At 43.1% G+C, this 22,138-nt stretch overlaps 1 protein-coding gene and 1 long non-coding RNA gene across 9 annotated transcripts in view; one reads left to right on the top strand and one right to left on the bottom strand.

The window, feature by feature from the left end:
• The window catches only part of GRIN2A (glutamate ionotropic receptor NMDA type subunit 2A), a 429,505-nt gene that overhangs the window by 37,336 nt on the left and 370,031 nt on the right, over positions 1-22,138 (bottom strand). For all 7 annotated transcript variants that reach the window (NM_001134408.2, XM_047433994.1, XM_017023173.2 and 4 more), the window contains one exon: positions 7,538-7,725. In NM_001134408.2, the coding sequence (NP_001127880.1) occupies positions 7,538-7,725 (188 nt within the window). The remainder of the gene's footprint in view (positions 1-7,537; positions 7,726-22,138) is intronic.
• Positions 236-20,026, top strand: LOC105371077 (uncharacterized). Of its 2 annotated transcripts, XR_933063.4 has the most exons (4): positions 236-1,110; positions 3,783-3,983; positions 14,740-14,785; positions 16,916-20,026. It is a non-coding gene; the product is annotated as an uncharacterized LOC105371077 (long non-coding RNA). The 2 variants fall into 2 exon arrangements; XR_933062.4 differs by lacking the exon at positions 16,916-20,026 and having other exon boundaries at positions 14,740-15,953.

Raw genomic sequence — 22,138 nt, forward strand, 5'->3', positions numbered from 1 at the left:
GTCCCTTTCATTAAAGAAGGTATTAAATCGATGACATAAGACTTGCAAAAGTGTATCTGCAGTATTTTCTAATTCATTCATTTGTTCATTCATTAAACAAATTTTGTTTATGCCAAGCTCCACTGAGTCCTGCAGTAAGGGAACAGCAACAGGGGTGGACATGGATAGCGTATGCCCTCGAGGAATCTATAATGCAGTGCACTCAAGTGGCCCAGGGCACATGGAGAGGCCAACAATGGCATCTAATGTGTGCCAGGCATGGACTAGCTTCTTTATGTTTATTTTCATATTTAATCCTTAAAGAATTCTGATTTTAAAATGAGAAAAATGAGACTCTAAGAAATTAATTTGCCCCAGGTCACACCACTAGGAAACTGCAGAACCTTCATCTTACTTATTTCACTTCTCTTGCTTTGCTAAATGCCACAAGTGTAGAGATAAGGGAGTTCACAGGCAGGGTATCTAGCTTAGAGGTCTTTATGGGAGTATTCACAGAGGAGCGCAGAGGCTGAAGGATGGATGAGATGTCATATCAGGAAATGGGGTTAGGAAAAGAGGGAAGGAGGAATTCCATTTTTATAGGGTGTTGCATGCAGCAATCCACACTTATCTAAAAAAAAAATTTCAAATGGTGAAATTCTGGATGCTGTAGAAAGTTGAAAGGGAAAAATATTCAGGGGTAAGGGGCATTCAAGGATTTCCCCAGTCCACACTGTCATACCATTCCTAAGCCAGCCCTAAGAAGACTGGCTGTGAAGGCCTCTCAGGGATACGCCGTCCTCAGAATGGACACATGTGTGGTCATCACTGCCTGAGCTGTGGGACTGTCCAGCTCTACCCCAGACTCGGATGTCAGCCCAAAGATATTAAGCTGGGAAGTTGATCAAGGGCAGTGTTGAGGATATTAGCAACCCATCCAGCGGCCCAGAGCAATTTATGAGAATTCTAATTAGATACAAGGACTTCTGTGACCACACAAACACTTTCTATTCTGCCTGCCAGCACGGGGTCCCCTGCCGTCAAAAGCTATCTTGTATGCTTCAGTGGAAGATACAAGGCCAACAAAAAAAGGACTCAGGATGCCAACACTGACCCACTCAGAGGGAGAAAGTGAGTTCTCCATTGACTTCCAAGGCTCCCCCACTCCAAGATCTGTGAGCATCATTATGCTGAATGGTGCTATTAAAACTCTAGAGTCCATTGCAGGAAGTTTCCTTATTAACATGAGAGCAGGGTTTGTGGTCCTCTCCAATCTGTTAACAATCTAGATGAGTCTTTAAAATTATTGCTGGCAAAAGTTGCAGTACAAAAGGAACAGAGGGAACCTGATGAAGTAAAATTGTGTGTGTGTGTGTGTGTGTGTGTGTGTATCTTTCAAATATTTAACATATGATTATATGTACAAATATGATATAACTGGGGTCACTCACTAGTTTTAAAACTTGGACAGTCCAGGCAACATTGGTTGAGTTGGTCACTCTATTAATGTAATTATTTTTTGGAGACAAGGTCTCACTCTGCCACCCAGGCTGCAGTGCAGTGACATGATCATGGCTCACTGCAGCCTCAAACTCCTGAGCTCAAGCAATCCTCCTGCCTCAGCCTCCTGAGTAGGTGGGCCTACAAGCATGTACCACCATGCCCAGTAATTTAAAAAATTTTTTTGTAGAGATGGGTTTTTGCTATGTTGCCTGGGCTGATCTTGACCTCCTGGATTCAAGCAAACCTCCCACCTCAGGCTCCTGAGTAGTTAAGATTACAGGCATGAGCCACTGCACCTAGCCTAATATAATATCAATGCGAGAGATATGTGTACCATATCTTTCAAATACTTCACATATCTATTATATATACCTAAATATGATATAGGTGCAATTGAATATGCCATATACATAATTTTTAACATACATGATAAATATATACATTTAATTTTATGTGTTAAATGACCTCAGACTAGATGTCAGGGATGAGTAATGTCTATTGGAGTTTAAAAATAAATCCACAACCATTAAAACTGAGCAAAATACAAAGAAGAAGATTAAACGCTTCTCAATACTAAAAAGTATTACTTATAGCTAAGCTGACCTGGCCGCCTGCAAACCAGGTTTCTCCTTGCAGCTTGGTTTAGTAGGAAATGATCAGAATTGGACTCAGATGAACTAGAGCCAATTGTTACCTCTATAAAAGTCTGAACAGGGTGTTGTCCATTGGCTGGTAGCCTCAGCATCACCTGGCAGCTTGTTAGAAATGCTGGGTCTCAGGCTCCACCCTAGACCCACTGAAACAGTCTTTGTTTTAGGAAGATCCTCACGTGATTCTTGCTCATGGTAAAGCTGAATGAGCTCTGCTGCAGTTCACTTTACTCATTGGAGCCTCATTTTCCTGCTTTGTGCAAGGGAGATAATAAGATTTACTCCAGAATATTATATAAAGGCTTACTAGGATATTATATGTGATGTGCTTGGCATAGTGCTGAACCATAGATGAGAGGACCTAAAACAATTTTTTCCTTCCCTTTTCTCAGCATCACTTGTGACTGAATAATAAAATTAGGCATTCTTGTTCTTCTCAGTATCTTTTGTTCTGGCCCCCAGATATGAGAAGGGTTTGACCTTTATGGTCTTTCTTCTGCTTCTTCAAACCCCACAATCATTTTTTTGAAAATCACAAAATGCATGAGATAGATGGGACTTATGGGATCCCCTGTTCACCTTTACTTCAAAGCCAGAAATGCCATTCTTTAAGTCCAAGGCTTACCCAGTCTTCAGGTTCTCACTCAAGTGTTACCTTTTAGGGACCAAGCAGAATCGAGGTACTCAATAAAGAGTTGCTGGTTGCTGGATGAATAAATGGCTGAGTCTTCTGTGAACCCTGGCCCATTCTATTCTTTGTCTAAATCTTGCCACACGTGTTTTCTTTATGAATCATTCTGTCCTTTATTCTTAAAGATACTAGTTATGTCTCGTATTTCTCCTTGACCATTCTCTTATCTACCCAACACACCTAAGAATATATATGTATGTATATATATACACATACATAAGAATATATACCACATACATAACACATGTGTATATGTATGTCTACATATGTGTATATATACACGTGTGATATAAATTTATATATGTGAATTACTAGAAACGTTTCGATTTTAGGATTAGATATTTTGCATTTATACATTTGTCAGCCTACTGGACTGTAAGTTCATTGAGGGTAAGAAGAAAAAGACCATGATAACCCCTTCTGGGAATATCAGTGCCTACGAAAACATCTGTTTCTCAGTAAATGTTGGGTATCGATGCTGAGCAATGCTGAAACATATGCATGAGCATTGTTACTCCAGTACTGAGAGCCAAAGATGCCATGGTGCACTCTATCATTTTAGAAAGACCACAGACAATTAGATGGAAAAGGAAGGCAACATCTTGCTAGGATCTTGTGTATGCTTCCAGGCAGATGAACAGCCTTTTTCCTAGGGAAATGCATGGCAGGCTTCATGTAAGAGGTTCCCTCAATAACCAAACACTCCATTCAAAGGTTATATTTACACAGCTCATTAGGAAAATTTTTTATACTTTTGACACTCATTAGACTCATAATCGTCCACTGAAGCTACTGTGTAACAAGAGATAAACACTCCATTCTAGAGGATGAATAATTAGGTACTGCTCAGCACTGTGCTCTTTACACGTCTAATTTTAGAGCATAATTAATCCTGCTGAAGCTGCATACGATAAGTGAAATATTTATGCAGCTGTGTTAATTCATGTATTTACTCCTAGAGAGACATTCAGAATTGGTCATGGCTTTCCGGGAAGATCATCTGGAGACACCCCCTGGACCAATGGCATTTTCTCTCCCAAGTCTTATGCCTCCCGATGGCCTCAAGAGATGAAGCTGAATAGAGACATTTCCCAAACCCAAGTCTGACCAGGAAGGCAATGAGCCAGAACAGAAAATATCGATGAGAACCTAGATGTTCTGTAAGTACATGAACAAACCCCTGGCCCATCTGGATGCTTTTACTGTTTATTTTTTATTTGGTGCAAAGAAGACCTTTTCTGTTTAGCACCACAAAAGTTGTTTCTGTGTTACTAACTTGACTACATTATTGCCAGTGCAACACTAAAGAAGTTGTGTTTGATACTAGAGTTGTGCACGGGCAACTATGGTGATGATGAGAAGGAGAAGGATGAAGAGGAGGAGGAGGGTGGTGGTGATGGCCATGATGATGGTGGTGATGATCGTGGTAATGAGGATGATGGCAATGGTCATGATGATGATGATGATGACGGTGATGGTGGTGGTGATGATAATGATAATAATGATATCAGAGGCGTGTGAACCAGAACACTCCATCTTAAATAGTAGCTGGGTAAAATGAGGCTGAGACCTACTGGGCTGCATTCGTAAATGGCTTAAGGCATTCTAAGTCACAAGATGAGATAGGAGGTGGGCAAAAGATATAGATCATAAAGACCATGCTGAGAGACAAAACAGGTTGCAGTAAAGAAGCTGGCCAAAACCCAACAAAACCAAGATGGCCATGAGAGGGATCTCTGGTCGTCCCCACTGCTACACTCCCACCAGCGCCATGACAGTTTACAAATGCCATGGCAACATCAGGAAGTTACCCTATATGGTCTAAAAAAGGGAGGCATGAATAATCCACCCCGTGTTTAGCATATCATCAAGAAATAACCCAGCCTTGGGTCTGCTCTGTCTATGGAGTAGCCATTCTTTTATTCCTTAACTTTCTTAATAAACTTGCTTTGACTTTACTCCATGGACTTGCCCTGAATTCTTTCTTGCATGAGATCCAAGAACCCTCTCTTGAGGTCTGCATTGGGACCCCTTTTCTGTAACTACAATGGTGATGGCTAACATTTATTGAACCACTTGTATGTTACAGGGTCTATGCTAAGCTAAGCTATGCACTTTACATGTATTCTCCCATTTCATCTTCACACCAGCCTTATTAGGTAATTATTTCTGTACCCTTTCACAGATGAATAAACCGAGGCTAAAAAAGATCACTTCTTTCATAGAAGTATTTGTAAATGGGACAGTAGATTTAGTTCAGATGTGCACTAAATTACTCCTTCCTAAAGGATTTATACATCTCAAGAGTTTAGTCATCTTTGATAGATAACTTAGAGAATTAAATATAACAACAGTCTTCCCTAATTGGCCCCCTTCCAGAGTAAGGTCCCTGAAGTAGAAGCTTTGCCACTTACTAGCTAGGGGATTTGCCCTCTGAGATTCAATTTCCTCCTCTGTAAAGTGGGAATAAGCAACATTTAACCTCATAAGGTTACGAAGATTACATTGAGGAACGTATGTAATGCATCCAGTATGATGATTGACATACCCAAGTCCCTAAATATGTTAGCTGTTTTATAATAGATGCTTCGAGAGTGACACCAATGGTGGGTGGGGCTAGAGTTAGAACTCACTTATTTGACAGATACCTATCACATTTAAAAGTTTCCAGCCAAATGAAATACATCTTAACATCAATCAATCATTCATCCATACATGTATTTATTCATTCAAACCTTTATTGACCAATTTACCTGTGATGTTCAGTGTTTTGTTGTAATGCTGGAAATAAGACTCCTGTTTGCTGAATAGTTCATCCCCTGTAAGGGTGATTATCCACCCCTGTGATAGGCAAAACATTTGGCCCCAATTCTTCAGCATACTCTCAGTGTCCACACTATTGCCATAAAACTTCAAGACCTATCTCATGAAAGGCAGAGTATACCTGCAATCCCTTGACCCTGAACTTGGCCACCTGACCTGCTTTGGACAGAAGGATGTTAGCAGACGTGAACGTGACCAAGCAGTGGCTTGAAATGTGCATGTGCAGCTAGGCGTTCCTTTCTGTGCTTCTGCCATGGCCAGGAAAAGAGCTTCCCCAGGTAGCTGCTACCTTTTCAGCCCGAGACACAGCAGAAACACGTGTGGAGCAGAGACCACACCACTGATTCGTACGCTTGTGGCAGGAAGCAGAGGCACTATCCCCACCCCAGGCAGAGCTTCTCCACTCAACCTGCACTACCATGAGGAAAATAAATGCTTACTGTTGTACGCCTCTAAGATCTCACAGCAAAAAGCTGACCAACACAGCCACAAATCATTATTACACAGCAGAGAACATGGCCAGTGATCTGAGGAAGGTACAAATGCCCTATGGAGAATTCAAAGACTCACATGTTCTCATTTGGGAGTTAAATATAAAACACATTTAGAATGCCTGATGGCACTGTGAGAATCTAGGATTTAACTCTGTGAATAGAAAGAAGATAAGAAGCCACAAGTAATTGTGCACTTCATTCGAATTCACACTAACCCTATGCACTAGCTAACCTCTGCCTATTTTGATATTGCATTTCACTGTAGTGGTAACTAGATTTTTCTCTCCCACCTGTAGCCTGGCATAACACGTTCTGTAATCATCTCTGAATATAGCCTCCACTATTTGAACGGGGCTTCTGCCCTCTGGCTTGAGCCTTTCTATCCTCCTCATACCGAGCTCATTTTTGGTGTTAACCTGCTATCTGAGCTGACTTTGCTTTTCCTATTTCCTCCGTGTTGGCAATTGAAAGGAAACCAACCTGCCATTCCAAGCCACGGCCAGCCTCTAGAGGCCATGCCAGGAAACCCCGGGCTATAGTGAGATCACCAGCTATGAAGTAGAAAGGGCAGACAGGAGGAAATGCTTCTGGTGACACAGCTGGCCCAAGCGGCTTTACAGTTCTATAAATGCCACAGTCTCATTAGACTGCAATAGAGATTGCCTTTCCTTCATTCCTCCACGGGATAAGAACATGAGTTGCCATGTTGGTACAACATGACTCCACCGTGAGTCATGCCTGATAAGTCTAGGAAAGAGTCTTTGACCTCAAAATGCATCAGAAATCCTTTCTCTGGAGTGAAATTGGGACTGATTACAGCCTAGTTATGTAATTTTGTACAGCAGCGTTTCTCAACCACAGCCTACCAACATGTGAGGTTGGATAATTTTGTGTTTTGTGATGTAGGGGGCTGTCCTGGACCCTGTAAGGTGTTTTCCTGCATCTTCTGGCCCTGGCCTCTACCCATTAGATCAGCAAGCAGATTCCCAGCCGTGATCACTGAATGTGTCTCCAGGCATTGCCAAATGTCACCTGAGGGACAAAATTGCCCTTCACCCTTTGAGAACCACTGCCCTAGACAGAAGACCTATAAATTCCCACTTAAGGCACCAGGACTGTCCTGGCTCTTGTCTTTTTCTAAACCTATTTAACTCTTTCCTAAATCCCCTGAGAGAGACTGTATCCTTAGAATACTTTTGTTTGTTAAATTTAGTTATCTAGAATTGCTTTCCATTATAAGCAACCTAAAGAACCATGGTTTCATGTGACAGGAACTCAGTAAATATTTTTAGGGAGCAAACTCATCATGCAAAGATCCACTGGGAAGCCCAGGAGCAAACAAAGCGAGTGTGAGGGTCTCAAGTCCCCCTAAAGAAAGGGGTCACCCGGGGTCTTACCATCACCCACAAACTGAAGCAAGGCCAGGTCGATCTGCCTCTTCCAAGGAGAGCCTTTCTGAAGGGCAATTCCATAACCGGTGGTGGCAAAGATGTACCCACTCCCGATGGTCACCAGCTTGCAGCCTTCATCCCTCCCAGCCTTGTAATTCAAGACTGCGGCATCGTAGATGAAAGCGTCCAGCTTCCTGAAATGACAAGAAACCAGGGGGTCATAGGGGTGGCCAGGTACCACCTCGGGGTCCAGCTCCTGAGGCCTGATCCTGAAAGCATCCCACACTTTCTTTCATGCTGGTGATGATGACTCATGGCCTCTCCATCCCCTCATCATAAAAGGATCTATTTTTAATGAGGAGATAAAAGCCAGAACCTTTTCTCTCCAACTTACAAGAGGCAGCTAAATAAAGACATGAAGGATCCATATACCCAAGTGAGTAAACAGTTGAGTTTGCTGGTTTGCTAAGTGTTTGTCCTTAACACTCCCAGTGGTGGAGGACAGTGCCCTATTTAGAAAGGTTTGCATCAGAACAAAATAAACCACTAAGGGGCAGAAGAATTTGGTGGTAGTGTGTATGAAGGGGAAAGGAACTAAATAGGAATATTTTTTCCTCCCAAAAGAAATACATGTGCTGCTTATTTATCATACAGAAATTATTGCAGAATTTTTAAAAATCCAAATAATATAGAAAAGTATTAAAAATACAATTAAAATTAAAGCTACCTATAATTCTATAACTCAGATTCAACCTTTGTTAACATGTTAGTGAACAGCCTTCCAAATGTTTTAGTGAGTATGCACAAACACGCATACACAGAGATTGGCAAACTTTCTTCTATAAAGACAAGATAATAAATAGTTGAGGCTTTGTAGGACATACCGTCTCTGTTGCAGCTATTAAACTCTGCTGTTGTAGGGTGTTATGGGGCTGCACTGTGTCCACCCCTAACATTCATACAGAAGTAGGGTGAACCCCTAATCCACTGTGGCTGCCGTCCTTATTAAAAGGAGAAATCTGAACACAGACATGCACACAGGGAGAACGCCATATGAAGACTGGAGTTATGCTGCTGCAAGCCAAGGAACTACCAGAAGTCAGGAGAGAGGCCTGGAACAGATCCCTCCCTGGAGCCTTCGGTGGAAGCGTGGTCCTGCAGATGCCCTGATCTTGGACATCTAGCCTCCAGAGCTGCGAGACAGTCATTTCTGTTCTTTAAGCTGCTCAGGTTGCATTCCTTTGTTATGGCTGCCCTAGGAAACCAAGACATAGTGCCAAAGCAGCCATAGAGAATGTGTAAACAAACGAACTTTGCTGTGTTCCGATAAAATGTTATTTAGGAAAACAGATGGGTCCACGGGCTGTAGTTTGCCAACCCTTGTTTTAATCCCGAAAATGTTATTATGCCACACAAACTATTTCACATATTGCTTTCTTCTCTCATTCCATACCTAGTGAATATATTTCCATGTGAATACACATAGCACTTTTAAATTCTTTTTTGATACACTTATTTTTATTGAGGTATAACGTATGTGTAATAAAATGCTTGATGAATTTTTACATATGTATATATCCTTGAAATCACCATGCAGTTCAAAATGTGGAATGTTATCATTTCCTTAGAAATCCTATGCATACCCCAGAAAATAAGCATCAGGTAATCTCTCCAAGGGCACAACTGTGCCTAAATATTATTATTATTATTATTATTATTATTCAGATGGAGTCTCACTCCATTGCCCAGGCTGGAGTGCAATGGTGCGATCTCAGCTCACTGCAACCTCCACCTCCTGGGTTCAAGTGATTCTTGTGCCTCAGCCTCCCAAATAGCTGGGATTACAGGTGCCTGCCACCACTCCCGGCTAATTTTTATATTTTTAGTAGAGACAGGGTTTCACCAGGTTGGTCAGGCTGGTCTTGAACTCCTGGCCTCAAGTGATCCACCCACCTCGGCTTCCCAAAGTGCTGGGATTACAGGTGCTAATTATGATTAGATCCCTGTCAGTAGTCCTGGATATTGTTTCCAAATGTTAAAGTTATTTAACGAGGCTGAAATGATCACTGTGGAATGCAGGGATGAATGTCTCAACTCTAAAATGGGTAAGAAAACTAAATCGGAGATGACTCAACTTCATGACACTTTCTCAACTTTATTGCCTTTCTTTAACAAGAAAACATAAAACAGTGAAGCAAAAAAATAAAAATAAAAATGGCAAAGAGAGGATGTGAAACACTGCATCTTTTCAGAGACAGCTGCCGAAGGACTCCCTATGGGAACAAAACTATTTGGCAGGTTTACAGCCGTGTTCTTCATTTTAATTTTTTTTTGTTTCTATAATGGTTTGAGGTGGCGCAAAACTGTAGGACTTGTCTCATCCACAGAAACACTCTGAAGCTTTGATCTCAAGGTAGGGGTATCAGAGACTTGGTTTTAGGCTCTGAGAGTATTAAAGGGAATCAGATCAAGCAGCAGCAGAAGAGAACTGGGCACTGATTGGCAACAGCGATGGTAACCTAGAGCTGTCATACGTAACCTGGAGCAACCTAGAGCTTGGCTTGATGACAGCAAGTCAAGAGGAACAGCCAGCAATAGTGAGACCTGCAGAAATATGGGATGGAGAGTTATACAAGGTCAAAAGTAACTTGTGTATAATGGGAGTAGGGTGTGTAACAGGAACACTGGAGTAGTAGGTGAAAGGAACCTGAGTTCTAGTCTAGGCTAGGATGATGGTGCAACCTCAGGAAAGTCACTTTCTCCTTTTGGATTTCTGGTTTCTCCTCTGTGAGAGGTGGCGTTCATTGTGGTCTTGCTGAGACACTTGTTCAGCTGTGGTATTCTAAGATTGTGTGAGCCAACAGTCACATTCTGTGGCTATCCATAGGGAAATTGAAACTCTGGATAACACATGTATCCTAAGGACTTAGGGCCGTGGAAGGTGTTGGTCTCTTGATAAAGCTGAGATACTTGCAACGTCAATACTTCCCGTATCCATGTTGCCATGGAGATATAGAAACTTGGTTTTATTTAGACTTTCTAAGTACCACCCAACTCTCGTCTCTCCATTCCTCAAAAAATAAACATATACACACACACATGTACACATGGGCACATTCAAACATTAGGGCCCTCTGTTGGAATTCATGGGGTGAAACCTTCTCCTATCCTGCTAAGCCACTGTGCACTGAGGTGCTGCTAGGCTGGAAATCTACACACGTACCTAGCAACCACATAAGAGTTGTCCAGAAGCAGTTTAAGTTGGTATTTTATGGACAGGCATAGACATCTTCAAATCAGTACCATATTTCATGACAGGTCTTTTTGAGCTGAGCAACAGACAGACATATGAGTACAAGGAATAAAGGAAGTTTTCTTTGGGAACAAAGTTTATAAAAGCACAATGCTGAAAAGTCAGAGGCAGGACAGCTGCAAAAGATGTGGTTGACTCTGACCAAAGCAGTTACACATTGGCATGACTGGGGTGGGCTGGTGGTCATGCTGTCAGAGGGGTCTGGCCATGGAGGCACACAATTGGGCCAGCCCTCCATGGCCTGACTGTCATCTTAGGGCCATGTCAGAACTGAAGTGATTACAACACAGAAAGGAAACTGTAGGGCCACATGAACTGGTTTCTAGATTCTAGAGAGCTGGGGCCTACACACAATGGGCTACAGACAACTGCGTGTTTAAAAATATCCTGGGGCATACACAGTCCCCTCCCAGAGAGATGGTCATTGTCTGAGATACCATCTCACACCAGTCAGAAAGGGCTATTATTAAAAAGTCAAAAAATAACAGATGCTGGCAAGGTTGTGAAGAAAAAGAAAAGATTATACACTGATGGTGGGAGTGTAGATTAGTGCAACCATTGTGGAAAGCAGTGTGGCGATTCCTCAAAGACCTATACTGGGTATACACCCAAAGGAATGTAAATCATTCTATTATAAACACACAGGCACACATATGTTCACTGCAGCACTATTCACAATAGCAAAGACATGGCATCAACCTCAATCAAACCCACCAGTGACAGACTAGATAAAGAAAATATGGTACATATACACCATGGAATACTATGCAGCCATGACAAAGAACAACATCATGTCCTTTGCAGAGACATGAATGGAGGTGCACACCATTATCCTGAGCAAACTGATGCAGGAACAAACTATGAATTAAAATAAATAATAACAAATGGAATCACTAATAATCACTTTAAAAAAAGAGATGGCCATTGTCTGCAAGATGTTTTATAAAATAATACTTAGCATTTCACAGACATCATCCCACTGAGGCCTCACAACTGTCCAGTAGCAAGATATTATTATTGTTATTATTTTTCTATTCTGTCTATAAGCAGACAAGGTTCAGAAAGCCTAAGGCAGCCTGGGGCTTGTTGGTGATATTTCCAGACTTTATATTATAAAACCCTCTAGGACAACACTGTCCAATAGAACTTTCTGCAATGCTGGAAATGCTCTGACACCATCTACTATGGATATCGAGCACTTGAAATATGTTTAGTGCAAATGAGTTGTAAATTTCATTTAATTTCATTAATTTAGATTGTAATGTAGGGGGTCCCACGTGCCTATGGGCTATTGCGGCACAGCCCTAGCTGTTCTGTGGCAAGCAAGGGGAAGGCTTAGGGAGCAGGACTCTGGGTCTCCCTTTTTGCTCTGACCCAAAAAGTCTACTTTTGATCCGTTTTCTATTGGAAAAAATAATTGTTCCTGTTGTTAAAAAGAAAAAAAAATCCCCTAAATCTCTGAGATTTGTCAACAGGGACTTTGGGCAAAGCAACTGCATTTCTCAGGCTCAGTTTTCCCTATGAAAAATGGAGCCAACTTGCCGGGCACAGTGGCTAGCGCCTAAAGTCCCAGCACTTTGGGAGGCCGAGGTGGGCGGATCACCTGAGGTCGGGAGTTTGAGACCAGCTTGACCAACATGGAGAAACCCCGTCTCTACTAAAATTACAAAAAAAATAGCTGGGCATGGTGGCACATGCCTATAATTCCAGCTACTCGGGAGGCTGAGGCAGGCGAATCTATTGAACCCGGGAGGCAGAAGTTGCAGTGAGCCGAGATTGCACCACTGCACTGCTGCACTCCAGCCTGGGCAACAAGAGCAAAACTCCATCTCAAAAAAAAAAACAAGAAAGAAAAATGGAGCCAACAATATTTGCCCTTAGAGGGCTGCTGGGAATAAAGTGTTATTATATAAGTAAAGTATGTGTGCAATGCTCAGAACATAACAAATGCTCGAAACACATAAATGCATTCAATCAAATTCAGATTTTATGCCAAAGGGGCTCACCAATTTTATGGATCCTATAGGAGAAATCCAGTTCTGCATACTTTATATGCATTATTATATTTTTTGGTCCTTCTCCTTGTGCAGGGATGGGCATACTACTGCCATCCCCATTGTCAGATGGAGAAACTGAGGCATTGAGCAGTAAAGTGACTCAGCACTACCACCCAGCCCATACGTGTCAAAAGTGGCATTGGAACCTATGCAGTCTGACACCAAAGACCACTGACATAACCACTGTGACCAAGCCATGCTATCCATAAGACTTGTAGAGTAAATGGAGGCAGCTCTATTACTTAGAAAATTCAGATGGGGGGTTTTAGCTATAAATAAGCCAAATGTTTTGACAGAAGAGGCAAGGATGGGGCCAGAGCGGCCGGAGTTTCAATAGTCGTGGTGGGTTGTTCCACTTCATCTGTCTCGTTCCCAACAGCCACAGAGTCATCTAAGGGGCTGCAGTTACCTCCATAGAAAACTCTTGCCCCTAACATAGTCTACTCCAGTCCATCGGAAGACATGTAGGTATAGGTGGCCATAGCTTCTTGTTGAAGATGGAGGGTAAGAAAGAGAAAAAAGGCCACCTGAAACGGAAGCCCGCCATATTTCAAGTGCTTAATTTCCATAGTAGACAGTGTCAGAGTATTGGTCTGATGTGGACCAATGGCATTTGGAGGGGTTGAGCTGCGACTGCTGGACTCAGAGTGACGTGTTAGGCTGCAGCCTGGTATGGGCAGCACTGGCTTGGAACACCACTGAGGGGCTGGTTCCTTAGAACCAAGAGCATCCAACTGAAAGCCCAGTTAAGAACACACAGCTAAGGGAACCCATTTACTCTTCTCTGCTTGGTGCATGTTCTCTTCCTTTTTTGAAGAGGAATTTGTCTTTGTGCCACATTCTCAGTTCCTACCCAGGTACCAGGGTTGTGTTTCTCCCACTGGGCAGGAGGACGTTCAGAGGTCAGGTCTGAGAACTGTGGGATGTTGCCTGTGATGAGGACAGAGACACCATCTGACACACTGGGGTCCATGCCACCTTTCTGCCTCCACTCCCTATAGAAGATGTTGGAGAGGAGCGATCCCTCTTCTCCAATGTCTGCGACAGACCAAAGACACCTTGGCTTCACACCATGAGGGCTGGAGCAGTGCTGGAGCTCAAAAGAATGCCATGCTATGCTGGCTACATGACAGGCTCACCCCCTGCCAGGCATCTTAGTGGCTGTGCGGGTGCCATTACCTTCTCCATCACCGGCAGTCCTCAAGGAGCACAAATGATTAGAAATGACAGTAATTCAGAACAAGAGGGGGAAATAAGACCTCCTCTCTGTAAATTAGCAAAGAAGCAAGGTAAGGACGGATGTCACATGTGCCCCATGCTACTTTAACCTAGTGGTTTCCTGCCATCCTTATTGACAGCTCTCAAGAGCTGCTACAGCTTTCACAAGTGTGTAGATCTGACCCCATTCCTTTAGTCAGTGGGTCTCTCTTATACCTGCACAATGGCCTTGAAAGTCCAATCCTAGCCCCAAGACTGTTTACTGGCAAATCTAATTGTCCCTACCCTGGGGAGGACTATACCCCACAGTAGAGGCATGGACACATTAGGGATGGGAACTTGTATTATCAAGCGGCTTGACATTTCCTAATCAAAAGTTTCCGGTTTTAGCTCATCATCTTCTTATGCATGTTTGCAGATGCTCTCTGGGGGTCTCAGCACATTTAAAGGCTAATTATATAGTTAAAGTTAATTATTCATTCATTAACATTCAAGAAGCCTTTAACAAGACACTGCTTGTCTTGATGAATTAATGAAACCAGCATGTGCACATGAGTGTGTGTGTGTGTTACTGAAAATTAAAACATCTCTTTGATGATAACTGAATATATTTTTTTCAGATCAAACCAAACCCTTGCCAGGAAGAGGAACACATTAGCACTTGAGGTCAGTTGGCATGTTTGGGCAACTGTGGAACAGGGAACACAATTCAGATTTATCTTCACCAGCTCCATGAGTGAAGCCCGGTCATGGGACCTCTCTGAGCTTCAGTATTCTCATCTGTAAGATGGGAAATAAATAATAACTTATTACAGGGCTGGCTGTTGGATGGATTAAAATGGAAGTGAAGGTGTTTTGCTTGTAATTGCAGATGCTGGTGGGATTTAGGAGATTATCTGGCAGTGGTGGTATCATTATGCAGAGAAGCAGTGGAGGTGTGGATCACCACCGGGTACCCATCGGGGAAGGGCATTCATGATCCCCAGAAATGGCACCACTGAGGCATGACAAGCTTTGAAATTGTTTACTTGGGCAAGAGACACTCAACCTATACAGGGACTACCTGCCATCAGCACAGAATGGTCTAAAACTGGCTTTGGGAAAATGGCCTAGAATCACATTTTGATTCTGGGTTTGTGAATACAAACTCTAAAGTCAGAGTTATACCAACATTGATGAATTTTCACAAAGGAAGCATTTTTCAAAGCAAACTCCCTTAAGCTAATTTAATTCCTCGATCGATGTCTTGCATAGCGTAGTTAAATTGTTTCCAACTTTTTTGGAAACATTTTTACTGGGGTCAATTCTTTTGTGTTTAAATTTTATAAATATTTGCTTCATTGATCAGGATTTGGACCACAACAAATTTTACTAATTTATAACTTCTGCCATTTTGAGTTTTCTTTTGTGGTTATTATTTCCACCAAGTCAAGTCCATTTCTCCTGGGTCAAAATTGTACAGAGATCCAAAATTAGCTAAGAAGATTTGAGTCATCTATGGATTTTTAGTCAATACCAAATTTCACCCTGTGTGCTTTCAGCTCTTGTCAGTTTATTTTGTGTGGCTTATTTTTTTTACCAATAATATTCACTGTGAATTGGGCAAAAAAGATGGATGGTTAATATTTATTTTTTTAGCTGATAATAAATCCTGAGTGATTTTGTAAGACAGAGGCAGAGAGAAGCAGAGAAGGGGAGAGGATAGAAGAGAGGAAGAGAACTAGGGAGGAGGAAGAGATCCAGATGGAAGGAGGTACCAAGCAAAACATGAAGACGGAGACAGAAAGAGAGAAAAACGATGAGAAAGAGAAAGTGAGGAAGAGAAACAGAGAAGGAGAAAGAGATGTTAGTAAGGTACAGAGAGGGAGAGAATAAAAAGTGAGATATATTGCAAGAAACTAAGAGAAAAAAGGGGGGAAAGAAAGAGAGAAAAAGAGGATAGAAGAAGGTAACGGGGAAGGAGTGAGGACAGTGATATGGTTTGTCTGTGTGCCCACCCAAATCTCATCTTGAATTGTAGCTCTCATAATTCCCACCTGTTGTGGGAGGGACCCAGTGGGGGATAAATGAATCATGGGGCCAGTTTCCCCCATAAGGTTCTTGTGGTAGTGAATAAGTCTCATGAGATATGATTGTTTTAGAAGAGTTTTCCTCTTTTACTTGGTTCTCATTCTCTCTTGCCTGCCACCATGTAAGACATGCCTTTCACCTTCCACCATGATTGTGAGGCCTCCCCAGCCACATGGAACTTTGAGTCCATTAAACATCTTTTTCCTTATAAATTATCCAGTATCGGGTATGTCTTTATCAGCAGTGTGAAAATGAACTAACAGAGAGAGAGAGGGAGATGGAGAGGGAGAGGGGGAAAAAGTGGGGGGAGAGAGGGAGGGAGGGGAGAGAGGGAGGGAGGGGGGAGGGGGAGGGGGAGAGGGAGGGAGAGGGGGAGGGAGAGGGGGAAAAAGTGGGGGGAGAGAGGGAGGAAGGGTGGAGGGGGAGAGGGAGGGAGAGGGGGAGGGAGAGGGGGAGGGAGAGAGGGAGGGAGGGAGGGAGAGAAAGGAGAGACAGAGAGAAAGAGAGACAGAGACAGAGAGAGAGAGAAAGAGAAAGAATACCCAAGAGATGAATGTACCCACTTTGTCTATTGACTGCTAATTTCAAAGATAGGGAAGGATTGAAATGATTGTCCAAGTCCATCTAGCTGTAAGTACTTTGTTTCTGTTAAATGTAACGTTGGACCCAAACTGACTATACCCAAGGAGTTGAGACAGTATGTAATCCAGTCTCTTCATTTTTCAGATGAGGACACTGAGGCCCAGAGATCTCCGCCCAATTTTTCCAGACCGGTCTGTCACTCACCAAAGCAGTGTGCCTTCAGGACACCATTGCCGGGCTCCCCCAGTGCAAGGCCTCAGCTGGGATGCAGGGTCAGAGAACTGGCTCTGCATACTTTGTGGAAAGTTGGGAAAGTCTAAATATTTCTCTAAGCCTTGATTTCCCCATCTGACAGGAAGGAAAACATAATCTGTCTCCTATGTTTATGCACTGGTTGAATGAAGTCCCAGCCATGAATTTGTTTGGTGAATTGCAAAGCACTATGCGATGCTGTATTTTCTTCACCACAACTCATGCTCTGACATAGGAACAGTATTGGTTCTTTCTGGAATGCTACTCTTTATAGAGCTTCTTAGATTGTACTTTTCAAGGGTTGAGGTCAGACCTAACCATTCTGCTGCAGATTTCACGAAGCATAGCGTTTTTATAATATTAGAAAGATGGCTCAAAAAGGTTTTCTTTGTTCAGACTTTTCTTGAACATTTACTATGTGCTGGACACTGCACTCTTTGCCGGAATATCTCATTTAATCTTTACAGTGCATTTCCAAGTGAAGGCAGCACAATTAGTATAATTTTATAAAAGTGGAATACTGGAGTCTAAGATGTTAATAACTTGTCCAAGGTCCCAACACTGGATGTCACTGGAGTGGGAATTCGAATCCAGGATGCTTATCCTTTAAGCACCCCATCATACTGTTAGTAGTGACGACATCACGGAACTTGTCACACAGGAGGACTGAAAGACAGGGACTCTCAGGGGCCAGAAAACATGAGAGTGAAAGAGAGATTCCGAAAAACATCGAGATTTGTGAAAATGCTATTATGTGTTAGATAGAATGCAGGGTACTTTCCATAAGTCAACTTGGTTATTTCTCAGAGGAATTCCAGGAAATAGGATTTTACACATGTGGGAAACAGGCTGAGAGAGGTTATTTAATTTGCCAAAGGTCACACAGCTGGTATTAGAGACAGAATATTAAAGTAGGCGTTTCTTACCCCAAAATCCACTCTCTGCACCAAGAGGCCACTCAGAAAATATAAAAATAAGCAAATCAAATAAATTGACTACGTAAGTTTGAAGGCTTCAAGAAAATATAAATACTTCCACCCAGAAATTCTATGTCCTGGTTTCATTCCTAGAAAACCACTTGTAGAGGTACACAGAGGACTCCCCAACGATCCTTAACACAGCCATATGACTGATAGCCCTCATCCCACCCCCCCAAAAAAAGTCTAGTGAGAAGAAAATGCTTAAAAATATTCTGATGCATGCATATCATGGAGTTCTTTCCAGCAGTCAAAGAGAATGAAGGCAAAAAATGGAAAGCTCTCCAAAACATATCGTTCACTGAAAACCAAACTGTGACATACTGCATAGAGTTTGATAGCATTCCACAGAATAAAATTTTATTCTGTGTGGACATATATTAATATATACAAATGCAGACCGGGCACGGTGGCTCACTCCTGTAATCCCAGCACTTTGGGAGGCCGAAGTGGGTGGATTACTGAAGGTTAGGAGTTTGAGATCAGCCTGGGCAACATGGTGAAACCCCATCTCTATTAAAAATACAAAAATCAGCTGGGCGTCATGGCGCACCCCTGTAGTAGCCTGTAAACCCAGCTACTCTGGTGGCTGAGGCAGGAGAATCACTTGAACCTGGGAGGCAGAGGTTGCAGTGAGCCAAGATCGTACCACTGCACTCCAGCCTGGGCAACAGAGCAAGACTCTGTCTCAGAAAAACAAAAACATATGCAAATGCATATAATAAAAGTCTTGGAGAAATGGAACGTACATCAAACAGACAACAGATTGGCATTGAGATGCCAAGCCAAAGGAATGCTTATCTGTATTTTCATTTTTTTTTTTTTACAATGAGGATACATTTTTTAATGAGAAGCAATATAGCATAATGGTTAAGGGCATAGCTCCTAGAGCCAGTTCAAATCCCAGCTCTGAAGCTTACCAGCACTGTGCCTGCGTCATGACTTAAGCTGTCTGTATAGTGGAGATGCTGGGCATGCCAACCTCCCAGAGAAGCTGTGAAGATTAAACTAAGAGTTACAGGTAATACACTCATAAAAGCTGCTGGGGCCGGGTGTGGTGGCTCATGCCAGTAATCCCAACACTTTGGGAGGCTGAGGAGGGTGGATCCCCTGAGGTCGGGAGTTCGAGACCAGTCTGGCCAAGATGGTGAAGCCCCATCTCTACTAAAAGTACAAAAATTAGCTGGGCATGGTGGCACACACCTGTAATCCCAGCTACTCTGGAGGCTGAGGCAGGAGAATCACTTGATCCTAGGAGGTAGAGGTTGCAGTGGGCCGAGATCGCGCCGTTGCACTCCAGCCTGGGTGAATGAGCCAGACTCTGTCTCAAAAAGAAAAACTTCCTGGCATGGAGTGAGGGCTACCTAAACAACTGAGACCAGGAGGCAGGGGATAGGGAAGGTATGGGAAATTGGCCAGCACAATTACCACCTGATGGTGGGAGTTCACACGCAAGAATCCACTTTGCATACCTGTGTGCTGTGCATTCCTGTGGAATACACCACCACTCCCCACAGCACACCCAGATAAAGTACTGGGCAGCATGGCCTCTTCCCCTGGTCCCCAAGACACCTGAGGACAGCCTCCACTGGCAGCACTGATGTCGGATACCTATCAGGAGGTGATGTTGGGAAAACCACACTACAGCCTAGGTGAGTATACCTCCAAATTCATGTACACCTGGGACATCAGAGTATGCCCTTATTTGAAAATCATGTCTTTGCAGATATAATTGTTTAAGGATCTTGAGATAAAGTCATCCTGGATTTAGGGTGGGTCCTAACTCCAACGGCTGGAGTCCTTAGAAGAAGAGGAGACATACCAAGGGAAGAAGGTCACCTGGAGATGGAGGCAGAGATTGGAGAGATGCAGCCACAAGCCAAGAAACACCTGGAGGCACCAGAAACTGGAGGACGCAAAGAATGGCCCTCGCTTAGAGCCTTCAGAGGGAGCAAGGCCCTGCTAACACCTTGATTTTGGACTCTGGCCCCCAGAACTGAGAATAAAATTCTGTTGTTGCAACCCACCATGCTTGTTATTGGTTATGGCCACTCTAGGAAACTACTTCACTGGGGACACCTGAAGGTGCAGTACCTGAGTTCCTATCACTCCTCCACCTGCATTTCTCTATGGGAGGAAGGAGGTGGGGCTTGCTTTGGGAGAGGCAGCTGTCTGGGGTTGGCCCCGGGCACTTTCCATGGGGTGTAAACAGTGTCTCCTAACCTGTGTTAGAGGCTTTCCATGGTCTGAGTGAGCCCAGTGCCAGGAAAACTCACTTCTCCCTGCAGCAAGAGAACACACAGGGCTGATACATTAACACCATGACCTTTTTAGCACCTGGGTCAGTGGAGATGTGTTTATAATTTTACTGTGGGGAGAAAGGAAGCTGAGCTATTCCAAACCTGTGATGCTTCATGGGTGAGAGCAACTTCGCATCTCCTAACCCCACGACCTTGTAACAGATAGGTACAACCCTTGCCAGAGCTGTTCCCTTCTCAGGACAAGCAGAGGGTTAGCACAACATCATGGGTCAGAAAAGATGTTGGGTCTTCAACTGAATGCTGGCACTGCTACTCATTAGATGTTAACCTTCAGACGAACTGTGGCTTCTGCCTGAACTTCAGTGTCCTCCTCTATAAAATGGAGAAAATGATTATCTGGCAGAGTTGAATCAGGAGGAAATGAGGTCACATGTTTGAAGTTCCCATGTGAGTTCAGCAAGCAATAACAAGAGGTGGGCCAGGTGTGGTGGCTCATGCCTGTAATTCCAACACTTTGGGAGGCCGAGACAGGCGGATCACTTGAGGTCAGGAGTTTGAGACCAGCCTGGTACAACGTGGCAAAACCCTGTCTCTACTAAAAGTGCAAAAATTAGCCAGACATGGTGGTGCACATTTGTGGTCCCAGTACTCGGGATGCTGAGGCACGAGAATCACTTGAACCCTGCAGATGGAGGTTGCAGTTAGCCAAGATCTCGTGACTGCACTCTAGCCCTGGTGACAGAGTGAGGCTCTGTCTCAAAAAACAAACAAACAAAAACAAACAAGAGGTGATCCCTAAGGATATAGAACCTGCCAGGGAGTTCCTGCTTCTTCACAGTTCTTCCCCAGGAGGAATTTTCTGACCATGTGCTTCCTGTGGCTTGGCTCGAATAGAAGAAATTCATTTCCTCCACGCTCTTGCTCCACACATTCATTTATTTTCCTTATCTCAATGGAAGAAGAAACATTGCCCCTTTTGAAACAGTAGTAAAGATTTTAAAGAAAAAAGGAGAACTTTTGAAGTAAAAATATGACGAAATTGGTACTAGGTTTTGCATAATGGTGGGCCATTAGAAACGGCCTTAATTGTGGAATATTATGAGAACAGTCATATTTTTTATTTTTTTTACATTGTGACTCAAAGCAGGGGCTCTGGCGTAAGATTGATCCCAGACACGCTGCTTAATCTCTCAATGCCTGTTTCCTCAAAGGTGGATGAAAATCTTGATGGTCACCGTCATATAGGTTTGTCATGATGTTTAAATTAGATAATGGAGGCAAAGCATTTAACACAGTACCTGGCACTCAGGTAAGCTCCCAATAAATGGAATCTGTTAGTTAGAAATGCCTCACTTAAGCCGGTCACGGTAACTCACGCCTGTAATCCCAGCACTTTGGGAGGCCGAGGTGGGAGGATCACCTGAGGCCAGGAGTTCAAGACCAGCCTGGCCAACATGGCGAAACCCCGTCTCTGCTAAAAATACAAAAATTAACCGGGTGTGGTGGTGCACCCCTGTAATCCCACTACTTGGGAGGCTGCAGCATGAGAATCACTCAAACCTCGGAGATGGAGGTTGCACTGAGCTGAGATAGTACCGCTGCACTCCAGTCTGGGTGACAGAGCGAGACTCTGTCTCAAAACAAAAACAAAAAAGAAAGAAAAAAGAAATAAACAATAAAATAAATAAAAACACACAATAAAAAAATTTAAAAAACAAAGAATTGCTTTGTGTCCAAAGCAATTCAGGTAGCTCACACTCACTGTAATAGAATAGAATAAGGTTTACACATACGGATAAAGCAATTGGAGTTAAGTGAATTCAGAAGTGGAATAGTAGCTCAGTCTTAGGGAAAGTCAGTAAACAGATTTTCAGGCC

This window comes from Homo sapiens, chromosome 16 (genome assembly GCF_000001405.40).
Source record: "Homo sapiens chromosome 16, GRCh38.p14 Primary Assembly".
In the NCBI taxonomy this organism is placed as follows: domain Eukaryota; kingdom Metazoa; phylum Chordata; class Mammalia; order Primates; family Hominidae; genus Homo; species Homo sapiens.